The sequence below is a fragment of the Homo sapiens genome, chromosome 10, assembly GCF_000001405.40.
Source record: "Homo sapiens chromosome 10, GRCh38.p14 Primary Assembly".
NCBI lineage: Eukaryota > Metazoa > Chordata > Mammalia > Primates > Hominidae > Homo > Homo sapiens.
In genome coordinates, this window is record NC_000010.11 from 71,849,338 (window position 1) to 71,862,981 (window position 13,644).

At 49.3% G+C, this 13,644-nt stretch overlaps 1 protein-coding gene across 3 annotated transcripts in view, besides 10 other annotated features; it reads right to left on the reverse strand.

Moving 5' to 3' along the window:
• PSAP (prosaposin) overlaps window positions 1-1,914 on the reverse strand; it is a 34,954-nt gene extending 33,040 nt beyond the window's left edge. For all 3 annotated transcript variants that reach the window (NM_002778.4, NM_001042466.3, NM_001042465.3), the window contains exon 1: window positions 1,845-1,914. In NM_002778.4, coding sequence (NP_002769.1) covers window positions 1,845-1,884 — 40 coding nt within the window. In that variant the 5' untranslated portion in view covers window positions 1,885-1,914. The remainder of the gene's footprint in view (window positions 1-1,844) is intronic.
• Window positions 173-672: an enhancer, noted in NCBI's record as "H3K4me1 hESC enhancer chr10:73609267-73609766 (GRCh37/hg19 assembly coordinates)". NCBI's record gives its function as "activates a minimal SCP1, AML or CMV promoter by ChIP-STARR-seq in naive H9 embryonic stem cells {active_cell/tissue: H9 hESC(naive)}" and the evidence as "EXISTENCE:reporter gene assay evidence [ECO:0000049][PMID:30033119]".
• Window positions 1,064-1,594: an enhancer, noted in NCBI's record as "H3K27ac hESC enhancer chr10:73610158-73610688 (GRCh37/hg19 assembly coordinates)". NCBI's record gives its function as "activates a minimal SCP1, AML or CMV promoter by ChIP-STARR-seq in primed H9 embryonic stem cells {active_cell/tissue: H9 hESC(primed)}" and the evidence as "EXISTENCE:reporter gene assay evidence [ECO:0000049][PMID:30033119]".
• Window positions 1,595-2,125: an enhancer, noted in NCBI's record as "H3K27ac-H3K4me1 hESC enhancer chr10:73610689-73611219 (GRCh37/hg19 assembly coordinates)". NCBI's record gives its function as "activates a minimal SCP1, AML or CMV promoter by ChIP-STARR-seq in primed H9 embryonic stem cells {active_cell/tissue: H9 hESC(primed)}" and the evidence as "EXISTENCE:reporter gene assay evidence [ECO:0000049][PMID:30033119]".
• Window positions 10,518-10,752: a silencer, noted in NCBI's record as "fragment chr10:73619612-73619846 (GRCh37/hg19 assembly coordinates)". NCBI's record gives its function as "represses an EF-1alpha promoter that drives an FKBP-Casp9 reporter gene in an ReSE screen in K562 erythroleukemia cells {active_cell/tissue: K562}" and the evidence as "EXISTENCE:reporter gene assay evidence [ECO:0000049][PMID:32094911]".
• Window positions 10,901-11,920: a transcriptional cis regulatory region, noted in NCBI's record as "candidate enhancer chr10.2502 targeted for multiplex CRISPR interference". NCBI's record gives its function as "positively regulates PSAP gene expression with high confidence in K562 cells {active_cell/tissue: K562}" and the evidence as "EXISTENCE:mutant phenotype evidence [ECO:0000015][PMID:30612741]".
• Window positions 11,177-11,321: an enhancer, noted in NCBI's record as "145 bp enhancer 138 fragment used in the MPRA reporter construct; PK_construct_3763". NCBI's record gives its function as "activates an SV40 promoter by MPRA in HepG2 and K562 cells {active_cell/tissue: HepG2 | K562}" and the evidence as "EXISTENCE:reporter gene assay evidence [ECO:0000049][PMID:23512712]".
• Window positions 11,217-11,361: an enhancer, noted in NCBI's record as "145 bp enhancer 43 fragment used in the MPRA reporter construct; PK_construct_3526". NCBI's record gives its function as "activates an SV40 promoter by MPRA in HepG2 and K562 cells {active_cell/tissue: HepG2 | K562}" and the evidence as "EXISTENCE:reporter gene assay evidence [ECO:0000049][PMID:23512712]".
• Window positions 11,244-11,254: a transcriptional cis regulatory region, noted in NCBI's record as "NFE2L2 motif; MPRA enhancer 138 activity is reduced when this motif is scrambled". NCBI's record gives its function as "necessary for full MPRA enhancer 138 activity {active_cell/tissue: HepG2 | K562}" and the evidence as "EXISTENCE:site-directed mutagenesis evidence [ECO:0005528][PMID:23512712]".
• Window positions 11,284-11,294: a transcriptional cis regulatory region, noted in NCBI's record as "NFE2L2 motif; MPRA enhancer 43 activity is reduced when this motif is scrambled". NCBI's record gives its function as "necessary for full MPRA enhancer 43 activity {active_cell/tissue: HepG2 | K562}" and the evidence as "EXISTENCE:site-directed mutagenesis evidence [ECO:0005528][PMID:23512712]".
• Window positions 11,364-11,463: an enhancer, noted in NCBI's record as "active region_3523". NCBI's record gives its function as "activates an Ori minimal core promoter by ATAC-STARR-seq in GM12878 lymphoblastoid cells {active_cell/tissue: GM12878}" and the evidence as "EXISTENCE:reporter gene assay evidence [ECO:0000049][PMID:35858748]".

The window sequence follows — 13,644 nt, forward strand, 5'->3', positions numbered from 1 at the left end:
GCATCAACCCTGTCATCCACTTTGTTACTTTTTATTAAAATTTGGGTAGCTAGGTTAAAAATGGCAGCCAGCCCTTAAACTACATATAGTTACTAAAAAACAGACATTGTGGTGGGGGCTGGGTGCGGTGTCTCACGCCTGTAATCCCAGAACTTTGGGAGGCTGAGGCGGGAGAATGGCTTGAACCCGGAAGGCGGAGGTTGCAGTTAGCCGAGACTACGCCATTGCACCACTCCGGCCTGGGCAACAACAGCGAAACTCCGTCTCAAAAAACAAACAAACAAACAAAACAAACAAACAAAAAAAAAACGGCCAATAGCGTGCAAGACTTTCTTTTCTCTTTTTCTTTTTTTCACAGGTGGGGTCTTGCTATGTTGCCCAGGCTGGTCTCCAACTCCTAGGCTCAAGCGATCCTCCCACCTCGGTGTCCCAATGTGCTGGGATTACAGGCATAAGCCACCGCACCCAGATGCAAGACATTTCAAAGCAAGTGAAATGAGGACCCCATGGCAAAATAACTGGACCAGAAAACCCTATATCGCCTTCAATACCTATGAGAATTAAGCTCCGATTTTTTTTAGCTTGCCCAAATTCCTATCTAAGGGGTGTAGGAATCATACCCTACAAACCATAAACTCTCATCAGATGGGTTTTATTTGACCCCATATATCGTGACTTACTTTCCAATCTGACTCTGGCATAACATTTTATAAGACAAGGAAAAAAAAATCAAAATATCTAACCCCAAAATATATTTCCTTGCCATACCTTGAAATTGCCCTGCAAAGTCTCTTGTGGGAAAAATCCACATTCTATAGAGAATCCCCTTTCCCCTATGTTTTCCTTCCTTCCTCTCCAGATCCAGGAGATAATCAACTAAGAGCCAGTCACCCTTTCATTTCCATAGAAATATTTTACAACGTGCTCGCTCTCTTAGTCGGCTACCTGAGAGCTTCCTCTGCACAATAAAACTTGGTCTCCACAATCCTTTATCTTAACTTGAATACTTTCTTTCTATTGATTCTAGGTTTTCAGATAAACTCAACCAATTATCAACTAGAAAATGTTTAAATTTACCTATGGCCTGGAAGCCCCCCGCCGCTTTGAGTTGTTTCGCCCTTCTGAACCAAACCAACGTATTTCTTAAATGTATTTGATTGATGTCTCGTGCCTCCCGAAAATATGTAAAACCCAGCTGTATCCCAACCACCTTAGGCACATGTTCTCAGGACCTCCTGAGGGCTGTGTCACGGGCCATGGTCACTCATATTTGCCTCAGAATAAATCTCAAAATATTTTTACAGAGTTTGACTCGTTTTGTCAACACCTAGAATCCAGAGTAAATACATATGCAAACGTCAATATAGATGATACACATGTGCTTCCTGCAGCTTCGCTACCCTTACAAACAGGCAACTGAAGCCAACGGCCAAAGTGTCCTGCGGGACGGGGCTCCAGCCCACCTCGATCACGTGCGCCCAGCACAGGCACAACACAGCTGCCCAAGGGGTCACCCTACAAGACTCACCCACCCCCACAGTGGGAAGCGCAGCCTGAGGGAAGGCCTCGGGGCCCCAGCCGCGCAGGAACCCACTCGAGCCCCGAAGGAGATGCTGCCCAGGGCCTGGGCCGTCCTCCCGGGGGCATTTTCGCAGCCCGCCCCCCGCAGCCCCCAGCCGCCCAGAGAAAGCCAGAGAAAGCCAGCGAACGCGCCTGCGCAGTGCGCGCGCCCCCTTGCCAACTAGGGCAGGGGGAGCAGAGGGGCCAGGCCCGGCACAGCCCATTCTGGGGCAGATGGACGCTGCGAGGCACCTCCTCCCCAGGATGAGGGTCCCAGGGCTTACCCGCGCCCAGGAGGCTGGCCAGGAGGAAGAGGGCGTACATAGCGCCGTCTGACTCCGCAGTCTGCAATGCGGAGCGTCAGCTGATCCCCCGCAGATATAAATCTGCCCTGCCCCAAAGCCGTCCAGAGCGCAGGCGCTAACCCCGCCCCATCCGGGCCTGCCCGAGCTCAACAGCGCCCTGACTCAGCGCCTCTGAGGGCGCCTGCGCGAAGGGGAGGCCAATAGGAGGGGGCAATGGGAGGGGCGAAAGGAAGGGCTATGGGGAGGAGTGAGGAAGAACTTGGAGAAAGGGAAGGGAAAGGTCATAAAAGAAAAGCCCTACTAATTGAATAGGTCAGAGATTATATATGTAAAATACCTTTTAAATCTCCACATTGTTGGCCGGCCGCGGTGGCTGACGCCTGTAATCCCAACACTTGGGAGGCCGAGGCGGGCGGAGGGTTCAAGACTAGCCTGGGCAACGTGGTGAAACCCCATCTCTACAAAAAAAAAAATACAAAAAAATTAGCCCATTGTAGTAGCGGGTTTCACATAGAATAGCTTGGGGTTTCACATAGAATAAGTAGTCGTGTAACAGGGTACAGGGCTCAGTCCTGGCCAGGGGCACGTGGGGGCAGGTGGTGGCACCTGGTCAAAGGCAAGTCTGGGCTGGGCATGCTGGCTCACTCCTGTAATCCTAACACTTTGGGAGGCCGAGGCGGGCGGATCATGAGGTCAGGAGTTCAAGACCAGCCTGGCCAATATGGTGAAACCCTGTCTCTACTAAAAATACAAAAATTAGTCAGGCGTGGTGGCGCTCGCCTGTGGTTCCAGCTATTTCAGGAGGCAGAGGCAGGAAAATTGCTTAAACCCGGGAGGTGGAGGTTGCCGTGAGTCAAGATCGCACTACTGCACTGCAGCCTGGACCACAGAGCGAGAGAGATTCCCATCACCAAAAAAAAAAAAACAAAAAACTTTTAAGCCTCACATTGTGGTACCGTTAAAGATGTAATACCATTCCTCACCCATCATAAGAGATCATAAGAGTCACAACCAACACTCCTGTAACGAGACAGCTTAAGAGAAAAGCATAACAAATTTATGTAATCAACGTTTTATGTGACATGGAAGCCTTCAGAAATTAAGACCCAAAGACCCTCTGCCTGTGGCTGCCCCTGCCAGGACCTGAACAGAGAATGATGATGACCCTCTCCAGAAGGATAAGAACCTGCCAACCGCAAGGCAGGGAAAGGAGGGGAATCTTAGCCCCTTAGGGCAGGCACTTAGAGGTCATTTACCTGTAGGGACATTGAGCCTAGGAGAGGGCAAGACGTTTATCCAAGGTCACACAACAGGTAGAGATAGAACCTGGCCCGAAGCCAGGTTTCCTGACCCAGGAAGGGCAAACCTACAGTTCCTCCAACTTCCTCCAATCTGCAATCCGCTCTGGAGAACAACCCCAGGGACTAAGGCCTCAGAACCTTCAGTTCTGCTCCCCTGCAATCTCCCTAAGTGCCCCCAGCCCCCACCACAGCTCTGACTTCCTCTGGGGAGCCAGATGGGGAAGTGTGCCCCATGCACCACAGTGGGCCATGTGAGGCAGCTGAGTGAGTTGGGACAAGATGTGGTCTCAACTGGACGCCTCACAGGTCGGCCTCAGTGGCCAGATGGAGACTTCGTGGCTGCTCCACCTTTGGGCTTCCCAAGGCCAGGCAGAAGCGTGGGGCAGACCACACAACAACTGGTTAAAAGCAAGGGAGCTAGCCGGGCGCGGTGGCTCACGCCTGTAATCCCAGCACTTTGGGAGGCCGAGGCAGGCAGATCACGAGGTCAGGAGATCGAGACCATCCTGGCTAACAGGGTGAAACCCCGTCTCTACTAAAAATACAAAAAATTAGCCGCACGATGTGGCGGGCGCCTGTAGTCCCAGCTACTCGGGAGGCTGAGGCAGGAGAATGGCGTGAACCCGGGAGGCGGAGCTTGCAGTGAGCCGAGATCGTGCCACTGCACTCCAGCCTGGGCAACAACAGCGAAACTCCGTCTCAAAAAAAAAACAAACAAAAAAAGCAAGGGAGCTGGGGCTCTAGGACAAATCCCCCATCCTTCAGCTCCTTGCAGATGGAGGAGCAAAGCATCCCAGTGCTCCATGCAGAGGTTACAGGACCCCAAGCCAAAAGGACGCTCAGAGACCTCAGATCATCCCCTCTCATCTTATAGAGCTACTGACATCTCAGGGCTGGTTAACAACAGAGCCTGAACCAGGACTTGTTTTTTTTGTTTTGTTTTGTTTTGTTTTGTTTTGTTTTTTGTTTGGAGATGGAGGCTCACTCTATCACCCAGGCTGGAGTGCAATGGTGCGATCTCAGCTCACTGCCACTTCTACCTCCCAGGTTCAAGCAATTCTCCTGCCTCAGCCTCCAGAGTAGCTGGGATAACAGGTGCACGCCACCACACCTGGCTAGTTTTCTTGTATTTTTTGGTAGAGACAGGATTTCACCATGTTGACCAGGCTGGTCTCAAACTCTGACCTGAAGTGATCTGCCTGCCTTGGCCTCCCAAAGTGCTGGGATTACAGGTGTGAGCCACCACACCCCTCCTTTTTTTTTTTTTTAAATATTCCTCCTTCATACCTAGAGGAATATGTCAGTGTTTTTGAGAGAAACTTTTGCTGCCTTTCATCTCCTCACCTGTAACTCAACAGTAATATGCTGCTTCATCCGCCTCGTCCTGAACCCCATGAGGACAGAATTTTAACAAAGAATATAAAAGCAATAAGTAGATTATTATTAATTTTTTTACCTTGTCAGTAGACGCTTAAATCCTCTTAAAAAAAAAAAAAAAAAACCTTCTGAACCATCTGCGTGTAGGCAACAAGAGCTGTGAAGCTCCTCAAACCCTCTGGCTCTCTTATGCCTTTCCTAGCTATGTACCCTCAGGGAAATACTCCAGAAGTGAAGGAATATTTTGTCCGAAGTGTTCACAGAAGGGCCCTTTAGAAACATGGAAGCTGGAAAGATCCCAAGTGCTGAACAATGAAGAGATGACTGTGGAAACTGGCTGGACAGAGCAACGGTACTGAAGCAGCTTTGAAACAGGAGGAGGAGGGAGCAAGGGCTAGGCTGCAGCAAGTCTTCCAGGAACGTGGGTCCCAAGAAACATGGGCAGAGTGAGAGGCCAAACCCCATCTGCTAGTAAGCCCTGCTGCTGACTTCCCAGAGAGGATGGCAGAACTGGTGGAGAGCTTCTAGATCCTGGATCCCATCGGGCGCAGTGGCTCACACCTGTAATCCCAGCAATTTGGGAGGTCGAGGCGGGCAGACCACTTGAGGTCAGGAGATCGAGACCAGCCTGGCCAACATGGTGAAACCCCATCTCTACTAAAAATACAAAAATTAGCTGGGTGTATTGGCATGCGCCTGTAATCCTAGCTACCTGGGAGGCTAAGGTATGAGAATCGCTTGAACCCAGGAGGCAGAGGTTGCAGTGAGCTGAGATCGCACCATTGCACTGTAGCCTGGATGACAGAGCGAGACTCTCTCAAAAAAAAAAAAAACCCCAAAAACAAACAAAAAAAGATCCTGCAGCCTGCCGCACCCCAAAGAGAGGATGCACGGGCAGCCATGGCCCTCCACCCTGTCCCTCTCCCTCCCACAAGTGCAGGATTTCAGCCAGGAGGGGAACAGAGAATTGGAAGTAGGGGGGAAATTCTGACTTTGGATTAACTCATCTTGCATTATTTCACTCATGGAAATGTCCACATTGCAATTTTTAAAAAACAAAATTAATATAGGAAATTTTAAAAGAGAAAAGAAAATCCCTTCCACTACCACCCTCTGGGAGCTCAAGTCTTCAAGGAACTGAAAAGATATTTTTCCTTAGAAATGTGAGCCACGCTTAAGGTTTCTCAATGGCCTTCCAGTTCTGGATCTCAGTTCTGCATGAGGCCCCAATTTTCATGTCTGAGATCTCTTGAAATCCCCACCTGTCAGACCCTTTTAATAATTTTCCAGCCGGGCATGGTGGCTCATGCCTGTAATCCCAGCACTTTGGGAGGCCAAGGTGAGAGGATCACTTGAGCCCAGGAGTTGGAGACTATCCTGGGCAACATGACGAAACCCTGTCTTTACAAAAAAATGCAAAAATTAGCCAGGTGTGGCGACACAGGTCTGTGATCCCAGCTACTCCAGAGGCTATGGGACGGGAGGACGGCTTGAGCCCAAGAGGTTGAGGCTGCAGTGGTGCACCTCTGCTTGTCAGCCGGGGCAACGGAGCAAGACCCCATCTCAAATAATAATAATGATGTTCCCTGTGGCCCCAGATGGCCTCCATCTGTTACTTTTTCTACAACTGAAAGTTCCGGCCAAGACAGCCAAGGAGATAAGACATATCTACCATTGAGGCCCAGCCCACCTGCTTGGCCCCAAGGCTCCACTCCAGTGCCCTAAACAGCAACCCTGGAGCCCCCTAATGCCCTGGAAGCCTCCCTTGACCCCTCACCCTGTCTCAAACAATGACAGGTTCTCTCCCTCCAGCATCTTCCTACTCGAGACCTCTGGCTTCAGACCCTCTAGCCTGCACTTGTCCTTGTGCCTGGAATGAGACCTCAGGTGTCACTCAAGGCAGGCTCAGGCTGTCCCAGGGACACCTCTCCCATCACCCACCAATTCCCAACCTCTGACTTCTCCTCCTATACCCCCACCTCCCCTGGACTGATGGAGCACTCAACAGTGCAGCCAAGCTCACCAAGCCCTCTGTGCTTCTCAGCACCTATTTAGCCTCCCCTGTGGCAGAGTCTGCTACACCCTCTAATATCATTCACCCCCTTCTCCTTGATTTGATAGTTACTAATGAGACCCCTTATTTCTAGCAGGGCACATGGCCACCTAAAATAAAAGCTACACATTCCAACCTCCCTTGCAGCCACGGGACTTCACTGTGGCCAATGAGATTTAAAAAAACAAGTGCCCAATTTGTGACTTCTAGGTACTGCTTTTTAAAAGAAGGCATATATCCAGTGCAAATATTCAAATATTTAACAACTAGTACTGCCAGGACACTGGCCATAGTGCTGGGGGAATGTCCTAGAAGGCCCCAACTGAGCCAGGCTGCTGTCTTGGAGGGGTGGATGGTTCCTGGGGATGACCCGGCAGCGGGGGTGGGCAGCAGGAGGCTAGCAGGTGTTACCAACTGGTACGAAGTCCTTCATAATTTATTTATTTTTATTTTATTTTATTTTTATTTATTTATTTATTTTTATTTTGAGATGGAGTCTTGCTCTGTCGCTCAGACTGGAGTGCAGTGGTGCCATCTTGGCTCACTGCAACCTCTGCCTCCTGGGTTCAAGCAATTCTCCTGCCTCAGCCTCCTGAGTAGCTGGGACTACAGACCTGCGCCACTATGCCCGGCTAATTTTTGTGTTTTTAGTAGAGATGGTGTTTCACCATGTTCGCCAGGCTGGTGTTGAACTCCTGACCTCAGGTGATCTGCCCACCTCGGCCTCCCAAAGTGCTGGATTACACCAACCCTGCTCTTTATAATTTAATTACTGGTACAGTTCTACTGATATGTATCAGCTAAATATCAGCCCTGGCTACAATCTCCTTTCTTCGGCCCGCTGCCTGGATTGCAGACATAATGGCAGGAGCTCAAGCATCCATCCTGGACCATGAGGTAGAAGCCTCTTTAAGGATGACAAAGCAACAAGAGAGGAGCCTGCCTCCCTGATGATTGTACCTGCTCTAGGCTGTCCCTTGCGGGCTTTATTTATGTAAACAAACTCCTATCTTTATTAAGTTTTTGTTATCTTCAGTTTTCTGCTTCATTCCTAATCTTGTTAACAATGCTCAAGCCCCTATGTAATTTTTAATTTATTTCACACCCATTTACTGTTTTACTCCTTCCCTTTCTCTAAGAAGATGTCCTTCCTCTTCTTTGCAAGGCTTTGTGTATTTTCCTCCCCTTTGCAAGTTTAGCCACTAAACACTACTATGCTTTTGCTGATCAGCTCCTGTGACTTTTAGGACAGGACTGATATTCTGTCTATTTTGGTTGTTTAATGCCTGCGTCCTTCACTTTGTTGAATTAATTATTTCCTAACTGCTATATCACCAGGAATCATCGGTGAATATTTTTAATATCACCGCTCTGGTACTTTGCTTTGTCAATTGTTCTTTCTTTATTTTCTCTCTCTTTTTTTTTTTTTTTTTTTTTTTTTTTTTGTGATGGAGCCTTGCTCTGTCCCCCAGGCTGGAGTGCAGCGGTGTGATCTCAGCTCATTGCAACCTCCGTCCCCTGGGTTCAAATGATTCTCTTGCCTCAGCCTCCTTTGTAGCTGGGGCTACAGGCGTGTGCCACCACACCTGTCTAGTTTTTGTATTTTTAGTAGAGGCAGGATTTCGCCATGTTCACCGGGCTGGTCTCAAACTCCTGACCTTAAGTGATCCACCTGCCTCTGCCTCCCACAGTGCTGGGATTACAGGTGTGAGCCATTGCGTCCAGCCCCCTTCTTTTTTTTTTTTTTTTTTTGAGATGGAGTCTCACTCTGTCACCCAGGCTGGAGTGAAGTGGTATGATCTTGGCTCACTACAACCTCCGTCTCCTGGGTTCAAGCGATTGTCCCACCTCAATCTCCCAGGTAGCTGGGATTACAGGCACACACTACCACACCTGGCTAATTTTTGTATTTTTAGTAGAGACGGGGTTTTGCCATGTTGGCCAGGCTTGTCTCGAACTCCTGATCTCAGGCGATCTGCCCGCCTCAGCCTCCCAAAGTGCTGGGATTATAGGTTTGAGCCATGGTGCCCAGCCCCTTTCCTTTTTTATATCTTCTGTCTCCCTCTGTACACTGACTTTTCCCTGTCAGACTATAAGTATGCCCAAGGCTCTCCCATCCTAAAAGAAATCTTTCTTCACCTTGACTTTCACATAAGCCACTGTGCTTTCTCTCACCTTCCCTTCAGTGCCATACTCAGTATGGCATATACACTCACCATAACTACTACTATCCCTCCCAACTATAATCCAGCCCACTGATCCCCCAAATGGCTTCTGGAAAGTAGACAGTCAATTCCTTCTTGGTAAGTCCACCAGCACCTTCTGTTCCCTTTCACCTCTGGCACTGTTGGTTTGCTTCTCCTTTCTACAAGTCCTCCTCTCCCGCCCCCGCCTTTGGCATCAGTGACAGGGTGCCACTCCACAGGGATGCTGAATATGCACCACACACGTCCCCACTGCCTGCTTCCTCATTCATGGCAGACATCACCAATAGACCTTGCCTCCTGAAGCCTTGTCAACTCGGTACTCCTCTGCTTTCAAAGTTGGCTCTTGGGTTAACATATTTGCTGTCTGTCTCAGATGGGGTTGCCTGGGAACCACAGTCTAAGGCTGAGATGAGCAGGCAGGAGTTTATTGGGGTATGTTCTCAGGATCACACCTGTGAGGCCGTGAGGGCAGCAAGATAGGGGAAACCAAACTGCGACAAGGTTGTTACATTGGCCTCAGCCCATACCGCGCTGCAGGGACGGTGCTGCAGAACGGCTGTCAACTGGGGTAAGGGGTGTGGGCCTTTAAAGCCCAAGATAATATGTCCCAGGGGAGGGAGTGTAAGCTTGGGTGAGGGGCTCCGTTGGCTGAGGGGAATTCCTGGAGATGGCACAATTGTGAGCCCTCAGCAGACGAGCCCATGGTGGAGAGACAGTGGGTGGCTTGGTCCTGAAAGAAGAAGCTATATAGTGAATTCCACCACCATACTCTGCTTGCTCTCAGTCATCCTTCTACTTCTCTGACCATTTCTTTTGCTTTTTTTTTTTTTAAGATGGAGTTTTGCTCTTGTTGCCCAGGTTGGAGTGCAGTGGCACGATCTCGGCTCACCGCAACCTCCACCTTCCAGGTTCAAGCGATTCTCCTGCCTCAGCCTCCTGAGGAGCTGGGATTACAGGCATGCACCACCACACCCAGCTAATTTTGTATTTTTAGTAGAGAGGGTGTTTCTCCATGTTGGTCAAGCTGGTCTCGAACTCCTGACCTCAGGTGATCCACCTGCCTCAGCCCCTCAAAGTGCTGGGATTACAGGCGTGAGCCACTGCGCCAGGCCGCCATTTCTTTATAGCAAGCTTGTCCAACCCACGGCCTGCAGGTCACATGCAGCCCAGGACGGCTTTGAATGCAGCCCAACACACATTTATAAACTTTCTTAAAACATTATGAGATTTTTTGTGTGTGATTTTTTTTAAGCTCATCAGTTATCATTAATGTTAGTGTATTCTATATGTTGCCCAAGACAATTTTTCTTCTTCCAGTATGGCTCAGGGAAGCCACAGAATGGACACCCCTGCTTTACGGAACACAAGGCCTTGGTCCTAGCCCAGCTTTGCAATCTCTGTTCTCTCAAACTTCCGACCTTGCCCTCCATCCCATGGTTCCACCTACTCTGCCCACATTCTCTAAGATTGTCTAAATAAGCTATGCAGCTCCACATTTATGTGCCTTATAAATACCCCCATCCCCTACCTCGAATTCTATTCCCTGCCTCTTTCTCTGGTAAACTCTTATTCATCCTTCAAAATCCATTTAAGGCCAGGCACGGTGGATCATGCCTGTAATCCCAGCGCTTTGGAAGGCCAAGTCAGGTGGATGACTTGAGATCAGGAGTTCAAGACCAGCCTGGCCAACATGGTGAAACCCCGTCTCTACTAAAAATACAAAAAATTAGCTGGGCGTGGTGTCACGCGCCTGTAATCCCAGCTGCTTAGAAGGCTGAGGCGGGAGAATCGCTTGAACCTGGTGGGGGCGGGGAGGGGAGGTGGTATGGAGGTTGAGCTGAGATCATGCCACTATACTCCAGCCTGAGCGACAGAGTGAGACTCTATATCAGAAAAAGAAAAAAAAAAAAAAAAAAAAAACAGATACTGCCAGAGGGAAACCTTTGCTATTTGCTATGCTTTAGGAATTGGTGGACACTTCCTCCTCACTGCTCCCTCTGGGATCTGTTCACATCTCAACAGCATTTCTTATTTTGTCCTGTTATTTTTTTAGCAATACATTTATTGAGTGCCTGGTATATACCAGGCACTGTACCAAGGGCTGAAGACAGAGAAATGAAGCACGCAGGCTGAGTGGAAAGGCCACACAAGAGGCTCGTTGTTATGTCCCCACTCCGGGGAAGCCAGATTGCTGGCCGGGCCCACAGCTCCATCAGGGCTCCTTGTACACACGTCCCATTCGGCACCCTGAGGCCCTGTCACCCGCTGGGCTGTGGGTGATCAGATTCCCAGTCAGTCTATTCTGAGAGCCGATCAGTGCATGGGATGCGGCCTGGCCCCACAGCTCTGTCCCCAGATGTTATTCCTATTGGACAGGCGGCCCCCATCAGCTGCTCTCTTGGGGAGAGCAGGAGCTGCCAAGAAGGCCTTGCATGAGCTGGTGAGTCAGCAGCAGCAGGGCAGTGGGGCAGGCCGGGAGCTGCTGAGTCACTGTAGCAGTCTGCAAGTTGGTGAGGTCAGAGCCCCTAGAGAATCTGATGAAAGCTGGGAACACTCTGCCAGAAAAATGCTCAGACACATTTTGCACTGACTTCAGGAGGCTCTCAGGCCTCAGCCACCCATCTGTGGATGTCAGAAGGAGAACCTTAGTAAACCCAAAGAGGGGAAGTGACTTAACTGCTCACAACACCAATAAATAATAGAACTGAGATCAGAGCCAGTTCTCCTGAGTCACAGTCCTGTCAATTTATCAGATTATGTCCCTGTGCCAGGCATCTATCAAAGCCTCCCTTTATTTCAAGGCCCAGCTGCATTTCACCTCCTGGGAAGCCCCCCTGCTTCCTCTAGCCTCAGGCACCTTTCTCCTTCTCTAAATTTCAGATGATTTGCTGCTAGAGCCCTTACTCTTGGGTGAACTTGGAGGGTGAAAAGAACAAAGACTAGATTAGATCAGTTGTTTCTGAGCCTGAAAAGGAAAGCAAGAACTGGGCTGTAATCAAACTGACCATGTTAGCATATCTTAAAACCAAAGCTTCTTAGCTGGGCGTGGTGGTGTGGGCCTATAGTCCCAGCTACAGGAGGCTTAGGTGGGAGGATTGCTTGAGCTATGATTGACCCACTGCACGCCAGCCTGGGCAACAGAGCAAGACACTGTCTCAATAATAATACTAATAATAATAACTGGCATTAATTAGTTGCCTGTTAATATACCTGACTGTCAACTGATCACTCTATATACATAATCTCTCTTTTTTTTTTTTTTTTTTTGAGATGGAATCTTGCTCTGTTGCCCAGGCTGGAGTGTGGCGGCTCGATCTCAGCTCACTGCAATCTTTGCTGCCCAGGTTCAAGCAATTCACCTTCCTCAACCTCCTGAATAGCTGGGATTACAGGCGTGCACCACCATGCCCAGCTAATTTTTGTATTTTTAGTAGAGACGAGGTTTCATCATGTTGGCCGGGCTGGTCTCAAGTTCCTGACCTCAAGTGATCTGCCCGCCTTGGCCTCCCAAAGTGCTGGGATTACAGGCATGAGTCACCATGCCTGGTCAATATATACATGATCTCTATTATTTATTTATTTATTTGAGATGGAGTTTTGCTCTTGTTGCCCAGGCTGGAGTGCAATGGCACAATCTCGGCTCACTACAAACTCCACCTCCCGGATTCAAGCGATTCTCCTGCCTCAGCCTCCCAAGTAGCTGGGATTACAGGCATGTGCCACCACTCCCGGCTAATTTTGTATTTTTAGTAGAGAGGGGATTTCTCCATGTTGGTCAGGCTGGTCTCGAACTCCTGACCTCAAGTGATCCACCCGCCTCGGCCTCCCAAAGTGCTGGGATTACAGATGTGAGGCACCAAGCCTGGCTACTTATTTATTTTATTTTAAAATAAATATAGCATCTCACTATGTTGCCCAGGCCGGTCTCAAAATGGTCTCAAACTCCTGGCCTCAGGTGATCCTCTTGCCTTGGCCTCCCAAAGCACTGAGATTGCAGTTATGAGCCACTACACCTAGCCAATCTCCAATCTATTCTTTCTTTCTTTCTTTTATTTCTTTCTTTTTTTTTTTTTGGCAGTCTCACTCTGTTGCCCAGGCTGGAGCGCAGTGGTGTGATCACGGCTCACTGCAGCCTCAACCTCCTAGACTCAAGCAATTCACCCACCTCAGCCTCCCAAGTAGCAGGGACCACAGGCACATGCCACCATGCCTAGCTAATTTTTGTATTTTTAGTAGAGACAGAGTTTCACCATGTTGGCCAGGCTGGTCTTGAACTCCTGACCTTGTGATCCACCCGCCTTGGCCTCCCAAAGTGCTGGGATGAGCCACCGTGCCTGGCCAAGCCTCCAATTTTTAAATCAAAGGTTTGATTACTCCCATTTTACAGATGGGGAAACCAAGTCTCAGAGAGGCCGACTTGCCTAGGATGTCCCTGGTCCTGATAGAACCAGGATTCAAGCCCAAGATCATTTGGGGTCTGAAGTCTATGCAATGTTGTCTCCATTGAGAATCAGAATTGCCCAAGGGAAGCAGACACGAAGTACAAAGATCCACCAGGCCACCGGGGGCTGATGCCATCGCACTCCACCTTTCCACATTCCCACTCCACATGCCTGAGCAGACGCTATGACTGACCAGTCTGATCTCAGAGGTGCAGTGTACTGCTCAGCTGTGCAGATAAATCTGTTAAGGTGACAGAGCTGTCCCCTGGGGTCAGCTTAGTCTTAAGGACTTAATCTGGTTTATGTATCAGACTCTTGTAAGTTTCTTCAGGAGCCTCACCCTGAAAACCTTAACCTTTTCTTTGGGCCAGGTAAACCAAGATCCTTGGACCCCAGTGT